At 48.9% G+C, this 19,573-nt stretch overlaps 1 protein-coding gene across 9 annotated transcripts in view, besides 11 other annotated features; it reads left to right on the forward strand.

Moving 5' to 3' along the window:
* Window positions 1–19,573, forward strand: part of NAA60 (N-alpha-acetyltransferase 60, NatF catalytic subunit) — a 43,353-nt gene that overhangs the window by 5,094 nt on the left and 18,686 nt on the right. For 7 of the 9 annotated variants that reach the window (NM_024845.4, NM_001083600.3, NM_001317096.2 and 4 more), the window contains exon 1: window positions 9,341–9,477. The exons of the other annotated variants lie outside the window; for them this stretch is intronic. The gene's annotated coding sequence lies outside the window, so the exon portion shown is untranslated. Of the gene's footprint in view, window positions 1–9,340; window positions 9,478–19,573 lie in introns of those variants that run through there. 9 annotated transcript variants of the gene reach the window in all.
* Window positions 8,943–9,692: a silencer, noted in NCBI's record as "silent region_7135". NCBI's record gives its function as "represses an Ori minimal core promoter by ATAC-STARR-seq in GM12878 lymphoblastoid cells {active_cell/tissue: GM12878}" and the evidence as "EXISTENCE:reporter gene assay evidence [ECO:0000049][PMID:35858748]".
* Window positions 9,013–9,182: an enhancer, noted in NCBI's record as "experimental_43326 CRE fragment used in MPRA reporter constructs". NCBI's record gives its function as "activates a minimal promoter by MPRAs in K562 erythroleukemia cells, with activity observed for both the introgressed and non-introgressed 16:3507802 variant alleles {active_cell/tissue: K562}" and the evidence as "EXISTENCE:reporter gene assay evidence [ECO:0000049][PMID:34662402]".
* Window positions 11,521–11,690: an enhancer, noted in NCBI's record as "experimental_43328 CRE fragment used in MPRA reporter constructs". NCBI's record gives its function as "activates a minimal promoter by MPRAs in K562 erythroleukemia cells, with activity observed for both the introgressed and non-introgressed 16:3510310 variant alleles {active_cell/tissue: K562}" and the evidence as "EXISTENCE:reporter gene assay evidence [ECO:0000049][PMID:34662402]".
* Window positions 11,521–11,796: a biological region, named in NCBI's record as "Neanderthal introgressed variant-containing enhancers experimental_43328 and experimental_43330".
* Window positions 11,627–11,796: an enhancer, noted in NCBI's record as "experimental_43330 CRE fragment used in MPRA reporter constructs". NCBI's record gives its function as "activates a minimal promoter by MPRAs in K562 erythroleukemia cells, with activity observed for the non-introgressed 16:3510416 variant allele {active_cell/tissue: K562}" and the evidence as "EXISTENCE:reporter gene assay evidence [ECO:0000049][PMID:34662402]".
* Window positions 15,791–15,960: an enhancer, noted in NCBI's record as "experimental_43334 CRE fragment used in MPRA reporter constructs". NCBI's record gives its function as "activates a minimal promoter by MPRAs in K562 erythroleukemia cells, with activity observed for the non-introgressed 16:3514580 variant allele {active_cell/tissue: K562}" and the evidence as "EXISTENCE:reporter gene assay evidence [ECO:0000049][PMID:34662402]".
* Window positions 15,988–16,157: an enhancer, noted in NCBI's record as "experimental_43335 CRE fragment used in MPRA reporter constructs". NCBI's record gives its function as "activates a minimal promoter by MPRAs in K562 erythroleukemia cells, with activity observed for the introgressed 16:3514777 variant allele {active_cell/tissue: K562}" and the evidence as "EXISTENCE:reporter gene assay evidence [ECO:0000049][PMID:34662402]".
* Window positions 16,565–16,734: an enhancer, noted in NCBI's record as "experimental_43338 CRE fragment used in MPRA reporter constructs". NCBI's record gives its function as "activates a minimal promoter by MPRAs in K562 erythroleukemia cells, with activity observed for the introgressed 16:3515354 variant allele {active_cell/tissue: K562}" and the evidence as "EXISTENCE:reporter gene assay evidence [ECO:0000049][PMID:34662402]".
* Window positions 18,571–19,108: an enhancer, noted in NCBI's record as "H3K27ac-H3K4me1 hESC enhancer chr16:3517275-3517812 (GRCh37/hg19 assembly coordinates)". NCBI's record gives its function as "activates a minimal SCP1, AML or CMV promoter by ChIP-STARR-seq in naive H9 embryonic stem cells {active_cell/tissue: H9 hESC(naive)}" and the evidence as "EXISTENCE:reporter gene assay evidence [ECO:0000049][PMID:30033119]".
* Window positions 18,571–19,167: a biological region, named in NCBI's record as "H3K27ac-H3K4me1 hESC enhancer GRCh37_chr16:3517275-3517812".
* Window positions 18,998–19,167: an enhancer, noted in NCBI's record as "experimental_43341 CRE fragment used in MPRA reporter constructs". NCBI's record gives its function as "activates a minimal promoter by MPRAs in K562 erythroleukemia cells, with activity observed for both the introgressed and non-introgressed 16:3517787 variant alleles {active_cell/tissue: K562}" and the evidence as "EXISTENCE:reporter gene assay evidence [ECO:0000049][PMID:34662402]".

Consider the following 19,573-nt stretch of genomic DNA (forward strand, 5'->3'; position numbering starts at 1 on the left):
GCTAGGAGGGTAAATGAGTATATTCTTACGTTAGGTACACAGGGATACAGTACAAGTATGCCAGCCTCTTTAAACTATAAAGAAGTAAACAAGATTTGGTTTAAGCATCAGTCTCTTGTGAGTCTGATGGGTAAGCCCAGTCTCAGGGCACACTGACAATGTTAGTGGAGAACGAGACTCTCCCAGTGTGCTGCCCTGACCCTCTGAGATTGGTCTGTGTAGCCACGTGGTGGTCATCCTGTGCCACCTCTGGTTTGGTTCTAATCAAAGGAAGCAGTATCATCTGTGGTGATCCGTCTTACACACTTGCATCATTTTATACCAAAGGAGAATTTCTTTTGTTAAAAATTTATTTTTCATTATCTACTCATAAAGAAGGAGCCAAAGGGCTGGGCGCAGTGGCTCACGCCTGTAATCCCAGCACTTTAGGAGGTGAGGCGGGTAGATCTCTGGAGGTCAGGAGTTCGAGACCAGCCTGCCCAACATGTTGAAACCCCATCTCTACTAAAAAATACAAAAATGTAGCCGGGTGTGCTGGGCGTGGTGGCTCACGTCTGTAATCCCAGCACTTTGGGAGGCCAAGGCAGGTGGATCATGAGGTCAGGAGATCGAGACCATCCTGGCTAACACGGTGAAACCCCATCTTTACTAAAAATACAAAAAATTAGCTGGGCGTGGTGGTGGGCACCTGTAGTCCCAGCTACTTGGGAGGCTGAGGCAGGAGAATGGTGTGAACCTGGGAGGTGACAGTTGCAGTGAGCCGAGATCACACCACTGTACTCCAGACTGGGCGACAGAGCAAGACTCTGTCTCAGAAAAAAAAAGAAAAATTTAGCCAGGCATGGTGGCGCCCAACTGTAGTCCCAGCTACTCGGGAGGCTAAGGAAGAAGAATTGCTTGAACTCAGGAAATGGAGGTTGCAGTGAGCTGAGATCGCACCACTGCACTCCAGCCTGGGTGACAGAGCGAGACCCCATCTGATATGGTTTGGCTGTGTCCCCACCCAAATCTCATCTGCAATTCCCATATATTATGGGAGGGACCCAGTAGGAGGTAATTGAATCGTGGGGCAGGTCTTTCCCATGCTGTTCTCATGATAGTGAATAAGTCTCACGAGATCTAATGGTTTTTAAAAAGGGGAGTTTCCCTGCACAAGCCCTCTTTTGTCTGCCACCATGTGAGACATGCCTTTTACCTTCCACCGTAATTGTGAGGCCTCCCCAGCCACGTGGAACTGTAAGTCCATTAAACCTCTTTTTTTTGTAAATTGCGCAGTCTCAGGTATGTCTTTATCAGCAGTGTGAAAACAGACTAATACATCGTCTCAAAAAAAGAGAAAAGAAGAAGAAGGAACTAAAGAAGAATTTCTTTGGAAGCAAAATATTTGGAAGCAAAATATTTGGCTCCTGACTGAAAGGGTTTTGATCCATGCATACATTAATAAACCCTTCAGAACCATGAGTTGGGATAATTCACTGTCCCTTGTGCTAGTCTCATGGAGCTTTTCTGCTCTTCTGGGAGTGCTCCTGGGGTGGTCTGGAGGCCTCTCAGGCAGAGCAGAGGCTGGTCAGCAAGCCACAGGGCTTGCCATGAAGTGGTTTGTTCATGATTTGTTTCTGGGACCCTGGGAAAAATGTTCTCAGGGTCTGCCTAGGAAGGCTGGTTTTGGAAGCTTGTGGATTTCTTTCTGGGTGAGTCAGGAAAGTTGTGCTCCTGCTGGGCGCAGTGGCTCATGCCTGTAATCCCAGCACTTTGGGAGGCTGAGGCAGGCGGATCACAAGGTCAGGAGATCGAGACCATCCTGGCTAACATGGTGAAACCCCATCTCTACTAAAAATACAAAAAATTAGCCGAGCGTGGTGGTGGGCACCTGTGGTCCCAGCTACTCGGGAGGCTGAGGCAGGAGAATGGTGTGAACCCGGGAGGCGGAGTTTGCAGTGAGCCGAGATCGTGCCACTGCACTCCAGCCTGGGCGACAGAGTGAGACTCCGTCTCAAAAAAAAAAAAAAAAAAAAAAAAAGAAAGTTGTGATCCAAGGGAAAGCATACAGGTTTTAATGATGAACTAGTTTGTTCCTTTGTCTCCTGGCTTTCATTCTTCATGGCATGTGCTCAGGGCAGCCAGTGGAGAGAGGCATCATTCTGCATGGTATAGAAGCCTTGGGTGGGTGTTTCATCATCTGTAAAATGAGGACAACAATACTGAACTTTCAAGGCCATTGTAAATTAGAATGTACAGTACAAGCATTGTAAGTTAGAAGTCAATTAGAACATGCAGGAGGGATTATAACTCAGTGTTTAGCGTATAGCAGACACTTAGTAAATAATGCATTTACTCTGTTCCATTCTAGAAGCTCCATTGTTGTTTGTACAACAAACACCTCTGTTGCAGTGCTTATCAGATTGTCTTGTAATCACGTAACTCCTCAAAGGCAGGATGTGTGTAATAACACATTTCCTTGGTCACCATTTGTACCCAGAATGGGGAAGGAAGAAATGAAAAGAATCCAGTATCTAAGCCCAGCCTCCATTTCACTTGCACGCCTTTTATTTATGAAAATATAGTACTTGTCCATGTAAATAATATCTCTGAATGGATACCAGGAAAATGGTAAGATGAGTTAGCTGGAGAACTTGGGTACTGAGTTGGAGGGAGGGTAACTTATTTTTCACCAATGTATCCTTTTGTTTTGCTTTAAAATAATTTACCACAGGCATGCATTACTTCTAAAAATAAAAATGTTTACTGTCAGAAAACTCCCCCAAGTTAAACCAAAACCAAAATATGTTAGATACATCTGTAACACTCATTATAAAAGATGACATATAAATGCCTCAAAAATAGAAAAGGTGATCAAACTTACTGAGAAATGTGCATTAAAACAATGAGACCTTTTTCAGTTAGATTGCAGAAAGGTAAAGAATAATACCTGGCCAGGTGTGGTGGCTCACACCTGTAATCCTAACACTTTGGGAGGCCAAGGTGGGTGGATCACCTAAGCTCAGGAGTTGGAGACCAGCCTGGGCAACATGACAAAACCTCGTCTCTACAAAAAATGCAAAAACTAGTGAGGCTTGGTGGTAGGCGCCTGTACTCCCAGCTACTCGGGAGGCTAAGGCAGCGGAATCACTTGAGCCCAGGAGGCAGAAATTGCAGTGAGCTGAGACCACACGACTGCATTCCAGCCTGGGGGACAGAGCAAGACCCTGTCTCAAAAAAAAAAATGAGCATGGTGGCTCACACCAGTAATCCCAGAATCCCAGCACTTTGGGAGGTAAGGTGGTCAGATCACTTGCACCAGGAGTTCGAGACCAGCCTGGGCAATATAGTGAGACTCTGCCTCTACAAAAAATAAAAAATTAGCCAGGTATGGTGGCGCATGCCTGTACTCCCAGCTACTGGGGAGGGTGAGGTGGGAGGATCACTTGAGACCAGGAGGTTGACGCTGCAGTAAGCCGTGATCACGCCACTTTACTCCAACTTGGATGACAGAGTGAGACCTTGTCTCAAAAAAATTAAAAAAGACTAATTCCCTATGTTGGTGAGGCTGCGGGCCATTTGCCCTGCTGTAGTGGGTGTAGAGTCTTCACACTCTTGGTATGAGAATAAATTGGTAAAACTTTCTGGCAGGCAATCTAGGGTTTGTTTCCAAAGTTAAATGTGGTTAATTAAAACTAATTTTACTTATGCCTGTAATCCTAGCACTTTGGGAGGCTGAGGTGGGCAGATTGCCTGAGCTCAGGCATTCAAGACCAGCCTGGGCAACATGGCGAAACTCTATCTCTACTAAAAATACAAAAAATTAACCGGGCATGGTGGCAGGTGCCTGTAGTCCCAGCTACTCAGGAAGCTGAGGCACGAGAATCACTTGAGCCCAGGAGGCAGAAGTTGCAGTGAGCCAAAGATTGTGTCACACTCCAGCCGGAGGGGCAGAGCAAGACCCCGTCTCAAAAAAAAAAAAAGAATGCTTGGTTGAGCATGGTGGCTCACACCAGTAATCCCAGCACTTTGGGAGGTAAGGTGGTCAGCTCACTTGCACCAGGAGTTCGAGACCAGCCTGGGCAACATAGTGAGACTCTGTCTCTACAAAAAAATGAAAAATTAGCCGGGTGTGGTGGTACGTGCCTGTAGTCCCAGCTACTGGGGAGGCTGAGGTGGGAGGATCACTTGAGACCAGGAGGTCGACACTGCAGTAAGCCGTGATCATGCCACTGCACTCCAACTTGGGTGACAGAGTGAGACCTTGTCTCAAAAAAATTAAAAAAGACTAATCCCCTATGTTGGTGAGGCTGCGGGCCGTTTGCCCTGCTATAGTGGGTGTAGAGTCTTCACACTCTTGGTATGAGAATAAATTGGTAAAACTTTCTGGCAGGCAATCTAGGGTTTGTTTCCAAAGTTAAATGTGGTTAATTAAAAATAATTTTACTCACGCCTGTAATCCTAGCACTTTGGGAGGCTGAGGCAGGCAGATTGCCTGAGCTCAGGAGTTCAGGACCAGCCTGGGCAACATGGTGAAACCCTGTCTCTACTAAAAATACAAAAAATTAGCTGGGCATGGTGGCATGCACCTGTAGTCCCATCTACTCAGGAGGCTGGGGCAAGAGAATCGCTTGAACCTGGGAGGTGTAGGCTGCATTGAGCCAAGATCCACTGCACTCCAGCCTGGGCAACAGAGTGAGACTCTGTCTCCAATAATGAAATCATGAAAAAAAATTTTTTTTTTTGAGACAGAGTTTCGCTCTCGTCCAGGCTGGAGTGCAATGGCATGATCTCAGCTCACCACAACCTCTGCCTTCCAGGTTCAAGCGATTCTTCTGCCTTAGCCTCTCAAGTAGCTGGGATTACAGGCACGCACCACCACGCCTGGCTAATTTTGTATTTTTAGTAGAGATGGGGTTTCTCCATGTTGGTCAGGCTGGTCTCGAACTCCCAACCTCAGGTGATCTGCCTGCCTCAGCCTCCGAAAGTGCTGGGATTACAGGTGTGAGCCACTGCACCCAGCTAATAATAATAATTTGAACCAACATTCTAGGCATTTTCCCTAAGGAAATAATCAGAACGTATGCAGATTTGTGTACAAGATTGTAAGTTGCAATATTGTTTTTGACCTGAATGTGTAGGTTTCAGTGGGGAAACCTGATCCCCAGTCCCTGCTCTCCTCCCACCCCAACCCCATCCATCTACTACCTTTCCCAAATAGAGCTTGCGTAGGGCCATTGGTGTCCAGGATCCAGAGCAGGGCATGGGTTTGTGGGAGGTGGTGGTTGGAATCACCTGGGGTTGGATACTGGACTTAGTTCCTCTATGGGTAAATGAGAGCCTGGGGATTGTCGGAAAGAGGCCTAGGGTGAAAATTAAAATGACTTAATTTCAGGAGCAGTCTTGGCCTTGGAGATTCATGGGACTTAAGAGAGGAAGGGCAGAGGCTGACCGTGTAGATGGTAGCTTGTTGCTCTACCTGGGCCAGAGAAGCCTGCTTGCCTCCCTATCTCCAAGGCTGAAAGAGGGTTGTGCAGCTGAAGATACAGGAATTTAGGATACAGGCAAGTGCCATGACCTGGCAGCTTGGTATGTCGCTACACTGCAGGAGCCTGCTGGCTTCCCACCACTGGGAGTGCCGTTAGGTGTCTGTGCTAGACCCATGGCCAGAGGGTGAAAGGAGGCATGAGTAAATAGGCAAGAGAAAAGCGATAATATGCTGGAAGAGGCCTTAGAGCCAGAGGGAGAAGGAGCAGACAGACTCTCATAAATAAGGAGTTCTGGTGAAACAGAATTTCTGCGAGAGATTCAATTATAGCAAAACTTTATGGAACCAAAAAGCTTAAAAAAAAATCAGAAGTTTAATAGATAAACTGAAGGAGAGAATGGTCAGCACAAACTGAGTAGCCTGTTAGATCAAGTGGAAGAAACACTCAAACACAGCAAAAAAAGAGAGAGAGAAAGGAACCATGAAAGCAAAGAGGTGGAGGACCAATCAGCCCTGAAGTCGATGGTGATCAACCCATTCCTGAACCATCCCTGTGACCGGCAGATGTCCCTCTGCTTGACTTGCTTAGGCAGGGGTCCTCTGAACTCATCACAGAGCCAAGGGAGAATGGGATGACCTTAATGGGTTAAACCAGTTAGGGAACACACTGGAACAAGGGGTAGAGTCTGTGCCACAAACACAAAGAGAAAGGGTGGAAGTTTTTTTAGTGTACAAATAACCTTGAATATCTCCTGTAGTGACACATGGTGCCTAACCGAATGAACCGTTGTGAAGATAAATGAGATCTTGCATAACATGTTTAACACAATGCCTCACACATAAGCCGTGGAGAAATAGTTATTTTCTCATTTGTGTTTTAAAGGAGTATTTTTTTCTTTTTTGAGACTGTCACTTTGTTGCCCAGGCTGGAGTGCAATGGTGCGATCTCGGCTCGCTGCAACCTCGGCCTCCCGGGTTCAAGCCATTCTCATGTCTCAGACTCCCGAATAGCTGGGATTACAGGCATGTACCACCATGCTCAGCAAATTTTTTTTTGTTGTTGTATTTTTAGTAGAGATGGGGTTTCACCATGTTGGCCAGGCTGGTCTGCTGGTCTCGAACCTCTTGACCTCAAGTGATCCACCCGCGTCAGCCTCCCAAAGTGCTGGGATTACAGGCATGAGCCACCGGGCATAGCCAAAAAAGAGTTTTTAGTTTTTTTTTTTTTTTTTTTTTTGAGACGGAGTCTCGCTCTGTCTGTCACCCAGGCTGGAGTGCAGTGGCGCGATCTCAGCTCACTGCAAGCTCCACCTCCTGGGTTCACGCCATTCTCCTGCCTCAGCCTCCCAAGTAGCTGGGACTACAGGCACCTGCCACCACGCCCGGCTAATTTTTCTGTATTTTTAGTAGAGACGGGGTTTCACCGTGTTAGCCAGGATGCTCTTGATCTCCTGACCTCGTGATCCGCCTGCCTTGGCCTCCCAAAGTGCTGGGATTACAGGCGTGAGCCACTGCACCCGGCCCAAGTTTTGGGTTTTTTTGTTTTGTTTTGTTTTGAGAAGGAGTCTTGCTCTGTCCCAGACTGGAGTACAGTGGCGCGATCTCGGCTCACTGCAACCTCCACGTCCTGAGTTCAAGCGATTCTCCCACCTCAGCCTTTTAGTAGCTGGGATTACAGGCACGCACCACTATGCCCAGCTAATTTTTGTATTTTTAGTAGCGACGGGGTTTCACCATGTTGGCCAGGATGGTCTCGATATCTTGACCTCATGGTTCACCCGACTTGACCTCCCAAAGTGCTGGGATTACAGGCATGAGCCACCGCGCCCTGCCCAAAAAAAGAGTAAAGTTTGAAGGGATGTACATGCTGTTCTGTTTGCCAGTTCATCTTAACGGTGCTGTATTTAGAACCCTGGAAACAGCCGGGCACGGTCTCAAAACAAACACACACCCCGTGGAAACAATAGAATGTTGTTACTCTGTTGTTACTTAGGGAGTGTTTTTTCAAACTGTACTGTGCTTGTTACTCACATGGGGGTCTTGTTGAATGCAGATTCTGAATTAAGTGCCCATTCTGACTCAGTCCAACTGAGTCCTGAGGTTCTGCATTTTTAGCAAGCTCCCAGGTGATGCCGCTGCTCCTGGACCGCAGACTGCACTGAGTAGCAGGCACCTGAGTTTTGCCTGTTTTTATGATTGATTGGGCTCCCCACGGCATCCATCTTCTAGCCAGTGGGAAAGGGGAGAGGAAGTACAGAGCGAGCAATTTCCTTTTTTTTTTTAACCCCATCTTTTATTTTGAAAATTTCAAACCTCCTCAATTTTTGAAAGAATAATGCGCTTCACCAGTTGTTAACAATTTAGCAATATTCTTTTAAGCACATGACACAGAAGTTGCCAACATTGTGCTCTCTCTTGTTCACTGGTGAAACTTTTGGCACATAGCCTGATCCTGCTGCAGGAGAGGCTGAGAAATAAAAGCCTAGCTTGACAGTGATCTGCCTGCTGAAGGGGGTGGGATTCTGTTACTACTAGATGATGATAAAGCAGTTATTTTTTAAAAGGAGAAGATGGCAGAGTAGGACAATGGATACTAGGGGACAGTTTGACACGCAGACTCAAATCTTTTTTTTTTTAGATGGAGTTTTGCTTTTGTCGCGCAGGCTGGAGTGCAGTGGCGCAATCTCGGCTCACTGCAGCCTCCACCTCCAGGGTTCAAACGATTCTCCTGCCTCAGCCTCCCAGGTAGGTGGGATTATGGGCACATGCCACCACGCCTGGCTAATTTTTTTGTATTTTTAGTAGAGACAGGGTTTCATCATGTTGGCCAGGCTGGTCTGGAACTCCTGACCTCAGGTGATCCACCCACCTCGGCCTCCGGAAGTGCTAGAATTATAGGCGTGAGCCACCACACCCAGCCAAGACTCGAATCTTATAACCAGTTCTCTTCAAATTGGATTCTGGAAAGCTCGGAGTTGAAATATACAGCCCAGGTTGGTCGTGGTGGCTCACGTCAGTAATCCCAGTATTTTAAGAGGCCCAGGCGGGCAGATCACTTGAGGCCAGGGGTTCAAGACCAGCCTGGGCAACATAATGACATTCCCATCCCTACAAAAAAACAAAAAACCCAAAAAACCTGTTTTTTAATTAGCCAGGCATGGTGGTTCACACCTGTAGTCTCGGCTACTTGGGAGACTGAGGCGGAGGCCAGGAGTTGGAGGCTGCAGTGAGCCGAGATTGCGCCCCAGGCTGGGAGACAGAGACCCTGTCTCAACAACAAAAACTTCGCGTTAGATCTTGCATTATAGAACCCCTACAACCGGAGGGCAGCTTAAGTTGCCTGTTTTACTCAGGGACAGCCCTAAACTGCCTTTCGCCAGAATCGGACGGCTGAGAATCCAGTGTCGTCGCGGGGTGGTGCTGCCAGCTGGCTCCGGGTGGTCGGCCAGGAGCCAGCCTTGTGCACCTGCTTTCAGTTGTTGGCCAGCCCCGGCGCTGCAGGCCCTCGCGAGCTTAGGATGCGCCTGCCAGGGCCTGTGCGGGGGGGCCACTCGGTAGAGCCGCGGGACCTCGGCCCGGAAACCGCGCCACCGGCGTCCGCACACGCTAGGCCGGGGAGCCCAGAGGTCTGGCCGGCCATGTCTCGGCGACCTCCCGGAGCGAGGGACAGGGAAGGAGCCGGCCCTCACCAGTGCCCCGCATACGGGATCCTGGGCCTGGCTTCGCACGGAGCCTGCCCGCTCCCAACCTGCCCGCTCCCAACATGGCGGCAGCGCCGGCCTCAGGGGGCGGGGCCACGTGGGGGCGGCGGCCAATGGGCTTCCGGGCTGCGCTGCCGGCAGGGAGCGGGAGGCGGAAGTGCCGCGGGCTGCCGCCTCCGTCCCGGCTGCGGCCCCTGCCGGTTACATAACTCGTTGCGGGCTCCGCGCGGTCCCACTTCCCGGCTCCCTTCGCCTCCAGGATGCGCTGAGCCCTACAACACCCCCAGCGGCCGCCGGCTCCCCCACGAGGTGAGGTGGCGGGGGGCGGCCGCCGGGGCTCGGACCTGCGGCGGGGCGCCGAGGGGGCGGGGTAGGCGGGGAGGCCGCGCCGGGGTCAGGGGGGCCAGCGCCCACCGGGTACGAGCGCGCTGGTGAGGCAGGCCCGGCCGCGCCCGCGCCCCCGGCGCACGGTCCTCCCGGGAGCCGGTTTCGGGGACGGCGGCGGGGAGTGGGCGCTGGCCAGGGACGAGGGTTGAGGAGGTCGCGGCTCTCATGCTGGGTGGGAGTCGGGCCTTCTGCCTGGGGGTTGCGTCAGTGTCCGACCCCGCGATGAGTGGTCGGGACAATTTGCAACTAGAGGGTGGTCCTCATGGGTACCCTGTGGGGTGTCGCGCGAGGTGAAGGGCCAGGCCATTTCCGTCGGGTCAGCGATTTCCGCCTTCGCCCCGCTCTCGCCTGGCCTGGTCAGGGCCTGTTTTGGTACTTGTTGCGCCGATTGGAGTCATCTGCGACTTGTTTGCCCTCCTCTGAACTCCTGAAAGCCAGGGGCTCCGTCTAGGTCTCCTCCTAGTCTTATTCTCCCAGCTTTCGTTGTTAAGACAAATTCCTTACGTTCCTGGCCCTTTACAGACCGGCCCTACAGAACCCACACCCCCAGCTCCGACTTTCTTCTCCAGATTGGGTACTTCCCAGGGAGTAAAGGGAATCTGTAGCTTTTGTGGTTTGTCCTGCTGGGAAAATTTGGGGGTAAGTGGTGGGCCTTCTCTGGACGACCACCCACAAATCTGTGTGCCCAAACGGAGACAGGACCCAGGGTCTGGACATCAGGCAAGGGGTACTCTGCAGTAAACGTGGACATTGGCCGTTTCGTGGGTTTGTTTTCACTCTGCCAAGTCCTTGAGGCGTACACTTTTGTGTCACTCATTTATCTTGAAAGAAAAGGTTAACAGCCCAACAGAGTAGTTCGCTTTGGTATCTGGAGTGGTAATCAGAGTGCCAGAACTGGAGAGAACATTGCCGTGTACAGATGTTTGCCTTTTACCAGGGCACTGAAGGCATAAAACCCTTAGTTAATGCTTAACTGAGTGAACCATGAAAGTCATGTGACTCCAAAGGTCGACTCTAGAAATGCGGCAGTCCATGTAGCACTGTGATGTAGAAATTCTATGATATATGGGTCAGTGTTCACAGGCAGGGAGAGGGGGAGTCTTCAACATCTTTGAATTAAAAAGCATCTGGGGCAAAAACAAATAAATACACACATATCAGTGAACTGCTTTAAGTTCAGTTAGAGAAGGTGAGATTAAAGACCAGAAGAAACTCGAGGGAGACTGCTGTATAAGTCCCAGTTATCTTTCCAAACAGACAGGTTCATCACAGCAGTGAAGGCTAGTCTTCATCTCCCTTCTTGTGGGATTTTCTACATTAATGTGCAGATCTGCCCTTGGAGAATGGGGCGTGCATGATTGGGCTGTGGTTTGCTGGAGTTTCATCTTACTGAAGTTGCAGACACTGTGGGTTTCTGTGACAATGGTTTACACTGAAAGTAGCAAAGTCAAGGCATGGTCTGGTATCAGCATGCCAGAATAAAACACACAGACAGCTTTTTAAAAGGTCTGTGTCCGTCCTATCTTTAGCCTCTCCTGGTTGTAACTTGAAGTGACTTTGTTGCCGTGTTTGTTTTGACCAGGCCGGGACAGTATGGAGAGTATCTTTAGATGTGACTTATCTGGGTTGCTTAGCAACAGCATGCTTCAGATTAGAATGGAAGAAAGTTCCTGGATGTGAGGAGATTTGAATGATAAAAGATACTTACACCTAAAAGGAGACCAGGAGGGATTGTGCCCTGTTCTTGCTAACTGGGTGCTCGTAACTGGAGACGGGGTGTACCTGTTAGCGGTGGTTAGACGAGGTGGATACAGAATCCAGAATGGTCACATTGCAGCCATAGGGAACAGATAGATGCAGAGAAGAGGCTTCAGCCCTCTGAGTTAGGGCAGTGCATGGCCTTGCTCTGCTGAAATAGCCCAGAGGTCCCATTTGCTTGGTGACATCTCTCACTTGAATAGAAAGCTGGCTGTTTATCAGACACTGTTTTCTTAAATGGCAGCTCCTCCACATCTGCGTCATCTCCATTATCTCCCCTATCCATCTCTTTTTGGAAGGAATCCACGAAGCCCTCATGACTGTTTGTTTGTTTTTGTTTTTTTGTTGTCGTTGTTGTTTTTTGGAGATAGGTTCTCACTCTGTCGCCCAGGCTAGAATGCAGTGGCGTAATCTCGGCTCACCGCAACCTCCACCTCCCAAACTCAAGTGATTCTCCTGCTTCAGCCTCCTGAGTAGCTGGGATTACAGTCATGTGCCACCATGCCTAGCTAATTTTTTTGTATTTTTGGTGGAGACGGGGTTTTGCCATGTTGGCCAGGCTGGTCTTGAACTCCTGACCTCAAGTGATCCGCCGCCTCAGCCTCCCAAAGTTCTGGGATTACAGGCGTGAGCCATTGCATCCAGCCCGCCCTCATGGCTTTTACACCTCTTTTCCTGGTTTGCAGAAAGCAAGGCTGGGGTGTGGACCCTGCATCGAAGCTGGTTCTGCTTATGTCCATGTGAAGTGCTTTCAAGTAAAATGCTGATCTGCAAAAAGATGCTGAAAGTCCTTTGTCTCTTTCTGGCTAAGTTCAAATGCCGAATTTGATTCAGCAAATAGTTGTGAGTGCCTTGAAGTGCAAAGAATGATCCAGGATCAGGACTCCTTCCCTACATATCATTATTTTGATATGTATGTATGTATATATGTTTAGTGACGGAGTCTTGCTGTATCACCCGGGCTGGTCTCAAATTCCTGGCCTCAAGCCATCCTCCAACCTCAGCCTCCTCAGTCGTTGGGGTTACAGGAGTGAGTTTGCCAGGCTCTATATCATTCTTTTTAGCATGACCTCTGATAGGAGGCTGGCAGGACAGTTCAGGACTTATCAGAAGCCCAAATATCTTACACTGCTGATTAAAGAGAGACCTGTGTTTGAAAACCAAACGGGCATATAATAGGATTAACATTCTGCTATGAACACTAAGGCATTTGCGTAGTGCTTGTGGGAGTGATAGGAAGGGGGTCTGAACCGGGGGAGCCAGGGCTTTCTGCAGGAAGTGGTTTGGGGTCCTTGTCAACAGTGAATGCTGCTTAATGGAGCCAGAGTGCCCCCCTGCGGAGGTGGGCAGAGAGGTGCCAGTCACCCCAAGGTGCCACAGCTCTAAGCTGAGATGGTCAGATAGAGGGAAGCAAACAAGGGCCACTCCCTAGTCCCACCTTGTCAGCAGCTCAGACGGGATTCCCCATCTCTATCTCAGCCAGGGAGAAGCCATCGCGAGAACTGGCTATGAGTGCGACAGCTTAGAGATGTTGCAATGTCTCTTCAAGTTAGGAGTGAAATTATTATCCATTTTGCCCCAAAATGGACTCTTAAACCCCCATACACTTGGAATAGCATGTATTTTGTGCTTTGAAGCCAGAAATAAACATTCTAAACAAAGATTTAAAGTTGCAATGAAGAGGAGGTGGTTGTGGACAGACATGCAGAACAAATGTTTGAGAAATGTTCCCTTTGCTTCCACAGAAAAACAAAAGAAAGGCATTTTCTCGTGTTTGACAAACCATGTTAAAAAAATATTCTTGGCCAGGCACAGGGGCCCAGCACTTTGGGAGGCCAAGTGGGCAGATCGCTTGAGCTCACAAGTTCGAGAGCGGCCTGGGCAACATAGCAAAACTCCATCTCTAAAAAAATACAGAAATTAGCCAGGCATGGTGGTGCGCATCTGTCATCCCAGCTACTTGGGAAACTGAGGTGGGAGGATGGCTTGAGCCCAGGAGGTGGAGGTTGCAGTAAGTTGAGATGGTGCCACTGCATTCCAGCCGGAGTGATAGAGCCAGACCTTATATCAAAAAAAAAAAAAAAAAAACCTTTCAGTGCTATTTTTTGTGGTATAGTTACTGTTATTAAAAAGCAAATGGCATTTCTCTTTTTTTGTTTACTGTATTCCTGAAATAGGGTCGATTTGGCCAGCAAAGTATTGACACTGGGGCCCATCTTGAAAACAACTAACTATTGAAGAAAATAATTTCATTTTATAAAATAGTAGTTGGGTAATTCTCCCTTAGGTACCAAAAAGGGCTCTTTTCTGGAAAATGTTAATGCAACAATATTTCCCTCATTCCTTTGGTGTTCATGGGTGTTCTATTGAATGCTGTTCCATTCTTATTTCTTTCTAGAAGATAGCTCATTCTGACTCCTGCTGTAAACTGTTCAGAGATTATTCTTTCCAGAGTCTGTTACATTCAGAATGTCTTGCTAGTCTGTCACTTGCTGCCCTTCTCTTTCTACTTAGTTTCAGATTACTTTGCATCTCCTCTGGCCTCCCGTTTTTAACCTTTTCATTGATGTATACACACAGAAAAGTGCACTGCTTGATGAGTTGACATGGCATGAACATAACCTGTACATCCCCAACGCCAGAAGACCCATGGGCCCCCTTACCAGGCAAGCCCTCTTCTATTAAGAAAAGCGTTTTTCTTGTTGTAAGCACAAGAAACCACTAATAGTAATTATACTAGGGATGGGGCGCATACAGGATTCGGAATTTTTGCTTTGTGTTGCACATGAATTCTTACTTTACTATGAACATGGGTTGCTTTGACAAATTTAAAACAAAGGCCTGAAAGGACTCCCCTTACTCAAGAAAAGGAAAATGCCTTTTTTAAATGTTTTTTTGAAATGGTTGTCTTAAAATTTCTAAATATTTTTTAAAATTAGATTTTATATAGCCACGCAAATTGTTCTTTAATGGTTATGTAGGAATACAGGCTGCTTGGCCTCCCTTGTCCACAGCCTCCTCTTTGTTTCTTTGCGACTTTGACTCTGTGTTTAGAACATTTATTTCCGGGATGAGTGCACAAAACACCATGCTACTCCAAGGCACAGAGTTTCAGAGTCAGCGCTGAGTCTATTTTAGAGCAAAATGGGTAACACTACTCATAATTTGAAAACACACTATTAAATACCCAAGCTGTTGCTAACTAAAAGCAGCCTGTGAGGTTATTTTAATATAAAAATGCAAGCTGAGGCCGGGCCCGGTGGCTCATGCCTATAATCCTAGCACTTTGGGAGGCCGAGGTAGGTGGATCACTTGAGCTCTGGAGTTAGAGACCAGCCTGGCCAACATGGTGAAACCCCGTCTCTACAAAAAAAAAACAAAAATTACCTGAGTGTAGTAACTTAATGTCTGTACTGTCAGCTACTTGCGGAGGCTGAGGCAGGAGGATTACTTGAGCCCAGGAGGTGGAGGTTGCAGTGAGCCAAGATCGTGCCACTGCACTCCAGCCTGAGTGACAGAGTGAGACCCTGTGTTAAAAAAAAAAAAAAAAAAAAAATGCAAGCTGGCGCGGATGCAGTGGCTGAGACCTGTAATCCCAGCTACTTGGGAGGCTGAGGTATGAGGATCCTTTGAGTCCAGGAGTTGGAGACCAGCCTGGACAACATAGGGAGACCCAGTCTCTACTTAAAAAAAAAAAAAAAATTCAACCTAGACTTGGTGGCTTGTGCCTGTAATCCTAGCTATTTGGGAGGCTGAGGTTGAGGGATCCCTTGAACCCTAAAGTTCGAGACCAGCTTGGGCAACATAGTGAGATCCTGTCTCTTAGAGAAAGAAATCTATGTGTGTGTTCGTCATTTTGACATACAACATCTTCACTTTTTTCTGACAATGAAAACAACCCAAGGTTATTGCAAAAAAAAGATCCAGTAATACAGAAACAAGTGATACAGAATGGAACCGTCTGCTGCAATTGCTGGGGCAGATTCAGGCAGAAATTTGGATTACTTTTATTTTATTTTATTTTATTTTATTTTGAGACAGAGTCTCACTCTGTTGCCCAGGCTGGAGTGTAGTGATGAAGTCTCGGCTCACTGCACCCTCCGCCTCCTGGGTTCAAACGATTCTCCTGCCTCAGCCTCCCAAGTAGCTGGGATTACAGCCACCATGCCTGGCTAATTTTTGCATTTTTAGTAGAGATGGGGTTTCCCCATGTTGGAACTCCTGACCTCAAGTGATCTGCCTGCCTCGGCCTCCCAAAGTGCTGGGATTACAGGTGTGAGCCACCACGCCCAGCTAGATTTATATTTGATAGTTATTTGATTCCAGAGGATCTTAAGTGCAAACCCAGAGAAGCAGAGAGTAAAAAGCAAAAAGGCAACAAAACCCAGCAGATGGTGAGGGAAAGGGAAGAAGCCAGGGAGGGGCAAGTGGGGACAGGAAGTGCTCTGAAACCCGACCCTCTCTTGCTGGGCTTTCTCCTTTTAAACTGAGGAGCTGCTGTGTCCATCTCGCCCGCTGCTTCCTAGGCGGTACAGAGGGTTTCCTGTAGCCTTAAGTTTTCTCTCCGAGAACAGACAGATTCTTGGTTGAGCCTTAAACAGGGTCCAGTCTTGGGTGTTAGTCAAGAATGCTGTTCAAGTAAATACGTTTTACTATCATTTGACTCCCATGTGCCCCCAAACCTGGTATTATTTACAGGTAGTTTTGTTGTTGTTTTGTTTTTAAACCAAACAGGTTGACCCATTCACTCAATCTGAGTTAGGAAATATATTCCAGGCACAACCTATCAGGCGGTTGCCTGCAAGATCCCAGCTGAAAGCATCGCTGGGACAAAGGTGATGCTTTGGCAGCCACCCTGTTGGCTCCGTCCAGCCCACACCTCAGTTGTCTCAAGCTGCTCTTTCAGTGGGAATGTGAGATCTGGTAGCAGAGGCTCATTTCACCCCAATTTTCTATTTCAGAAAAAGGGGCCGGGTGCAGTGGCTCAAGCCTGTAATCTCAGTACTTTGGGAGTCTGAGGCGGGTGGATCATGAGGTCAGGAGATTGAGACCATCCTGGCTAACAGGGTGAAACCCCGTCTCTACTAAAAATACAAAAAGTTAGCCGAATGTGGTGGCGGGCGCCTGTAGCCCCAGCTACTCGGGAGGCTGAGACAGGAGAATGGCGTGAACCCGGGAGGCGGAGCTTGCAGTGAGCCGAAATTTTGCCACTGCACTCCAGCCTGGGCGACAGAGCGAGACTCTGTCTCAAAAAAAAAAAAAAAAAGAAAAGAAAAAAGGAAACTCATCCGAAGCAAGAGAGGCAGCCACGGGGTCCCATCTTGGCAGCACATCTTCTGGTCCCCGGTTTAGCGTTCTGTCCTTCTCTTGGGTCATGTTCTTGTCTCTGTTCTTCCTCATCCCTTCTTCGTCCTTGTCATCGCCACTTCTGACACTGACTGAGTGGGGCCACAAAAGGTGAGTCGTCCTTCCGGCTGCCCCCACCACAATCCAGCCCTGGCTCAAGAGCAGGGAAGGTGCTGTCCCCCAGGCTGCAGACGGGGGTTAGTACAGCAACCTCAGACAGCTTCCTCTCTGGGGGGACCCTGCGTGTCTTGGGTGCAGTTTCGAGGAGGATGCAGAGGGATGGATCCCTGCCTTCTTCTGTGTGACCCCTGCGGTGGGGGAGCATCCCTGCTCAGCCCAGGGGATGGCACTTTTCATGTTTGCCGTGAGATTCCTCTAGCAAAAGCAGTGGGTTTTGTGAGTACTTAGGTAATGGTGCCAGAAAGCACCATGACACCCTGGTATGTCCGCCCCATATAATCAGAGAATCTGACTCTGCTCACTGCTGAGACCCCGATACCCAGGGTAGGGCCTGAATTTTCAATGCAATTGCGATAAATTAATGACTAAATGGATTCTCAGTTTGAAATGTAAGGCGTGACAGAACGTTCAACCCAGGGAAGATTGAGTCAGGACCCGGGACCTTGCCGGAACACCTGTGGCCGTTGCTGCTGTTAACTGAGGTGTAATTAACATGCAGCCAAGTGCACAGCTTCACCCAGCAGATCCGTACGTTTTGACAACTGTGAAACAAGACGTAGCACATCGCCATCGCGCTTCTCAGCTCCGCCTTCACCACTCTGGGTGCCAGCACCGGCAATTTGTTTGGCCAGTTCCAGAGTGTCATAAAAACAGAATCCTCCATTGTCACTCCTCTGTCCTTGAAGAGATATGCATCGAGTTGTATGCGGCCACTCTGCGGGCTCCCCTCGGCACATGATGGTCTTCAGAGAGAGGCTGTTTGGAAATAGAGTGGTGGGTGTTTGCTTCTTGTCACCCGGCAAATGATTCATTTTTCTGCTGCTCTGACACTTTGGAAGAAGCCAGGGATGCTGAGGAGATGGCTTGCTCTCACGTGGGCAGCTGCTCCTTTGAGAAACAAGCCATGCGCAGTGTTAGCTGCTGACATCCTCCACTTTTAGCCCTTGAGCCCATTTCACTGATGAGCAAGACAGTGGCCTGTATCTGTCACTAACGTGCTTTTCTTTTTCTCCCCTGTTCCCCAAAGACAGGAGTGTGGAGTTCATGAGTGTTGGATTTTTCAAGCTAGTAAACCTTGCAGCTGCAAGTGGTGTTTAATTCTTGTGGTATGGATGAGCACATGCTAATCTCCCTTGAGCTTCTCTTGAGCAGAAGCCTGGTGTGCTAACGGGCAGGACTGGGGTGGTGCTTTGAGAGGAAGAGGGGGAAGGTGGCCCGAGAGGGAGATCTACTGAGATGTGAGCTGCCTGGAGTTTGGGGTGGGGATTCCTGGAGGGGCTCTGGATTTTGCAGAGGGACAGCTGTTGGTGCACCTTCACCAGTGTGCTGGGACAGAAAGTGGGGTGAGTGGGTGAGTGAGGAATAAGTGTTTGAAGGGCAGGAGTAAAGCAGAAAGGTGGCAGCAGGTGTTGAGCTGCAAGTGGTTCCATTGCCTGGAAAGGAGGTGGCAGGGAGGCCTGCCCAAGATGGGTGCCTGCAGGGTGCGGACAGCCTGTCAGAGGTGCGGAAAGCCTGACATTGAAAATGTCAGACAGTGGGTGCTTGGGCCAGAGAGAAAGAGCCTGAGGAGCTGGACCAGGGGTTGGGGGGCGGCCTTTAGAAGCAGCGTCTCATGCAGCCTTCCCAGCGATCCTGAGGTAGGTGGGAGAATCTTCAGGCCACGGCTGAGAAGCTGAAGCGTGTGGCGGGAGATCCGTCTCAGAACACCTGAGATCCCTGCAGGGTCTGGGAGCATGTTAGGGGCTCAGAGTGCAGGTAGGGACTGGCAGGGAGGAGCTGTGGGCGGGAAGAGAGAGAAGGGAGGGCAGGGCAGTGTGGCCATGGCCAGCTGAACACTGGGAGTCTGCTCCTGAGGTCATGGATGGAGGCCAGGACACCTCTCAAGCCATTAAGAGGGTGGCCTTTCCAAGCGCAGCATGACTTGTTGGTCTTGAAGCAGTGCCTTCGAAGGAGGAGGAGTCCCCCGTGGACTTGGGGCATTAGGACAGGGACTGCCAAGGAGAGAGGGCACTAGGAAACAGGGTTGTTTTTGGCTTTTTTACCTGGGGTGCAAGTGGAGCACCCTGTGGGCATCATGAGGGTGTCAGGAAACCCTTCTGGTAACTGAAACGCAGTCCATTCTGTGTCCCCCAGATTCTGAGTTTTCAGCACCTGACAGTGGCGGGGGATGGCAGACACACCTGTGGGTGCTGGAGACATCTTGGCGGCCCTTCCTCCAGTTTGGCATCATAGTCCCCTGTGGGCTGAGCACATGGGGCTCCTGGACAGTTGTTACCGATGGAGGGTATCCAGGTTCTTGACATCTTGAACAAAGAATTGGACAAAACGGCACAAACAAAGCAAGAAAAAGATGAAGCAACAAAAGCAGATTTATTGAAAACGAAAGTACACTCCATAGGGTGGGAGCAGGCCCTGGTTACAGAATTTTCTGGGGTTTAAATACCCTCTAGAGGTTTCCCATTGGTTATTTGGTGCATGCCCTATGTAAATGAAAGTGACCTGCGATCAGTCTGATTGGTTGAGGAAAGCAGCCAACCAGAGGCTGAAGTGAAGTTACAAAGTTACATCCTATGCAAATATCTGATTCATTGTGGAAAGCAACCAATCAGAGGCTGAAGTGAAATTACAAAGTTGCACTCCTATATAAATGAAGACTTGGCCGGAGACCAGCTTGATTGGTTGCAGGAGGGGACCAATCAGAGGTACTTTCAGTTCTTGATCTGCTTGGTAGAAA

The sequence above is a fragment of the Homo sapiens genome, chromosome 16 (assembly GCF_000001405.40).
Source record: "Homo sapiens chromosome 16, GRCh38.p14 Primary Assembly".
NCBI classification, from domain to species: Eukaryota; Metazoa; Chordata; class Mammalia; order Primates; family Hominidae; genus Homo; species Homo sapiens.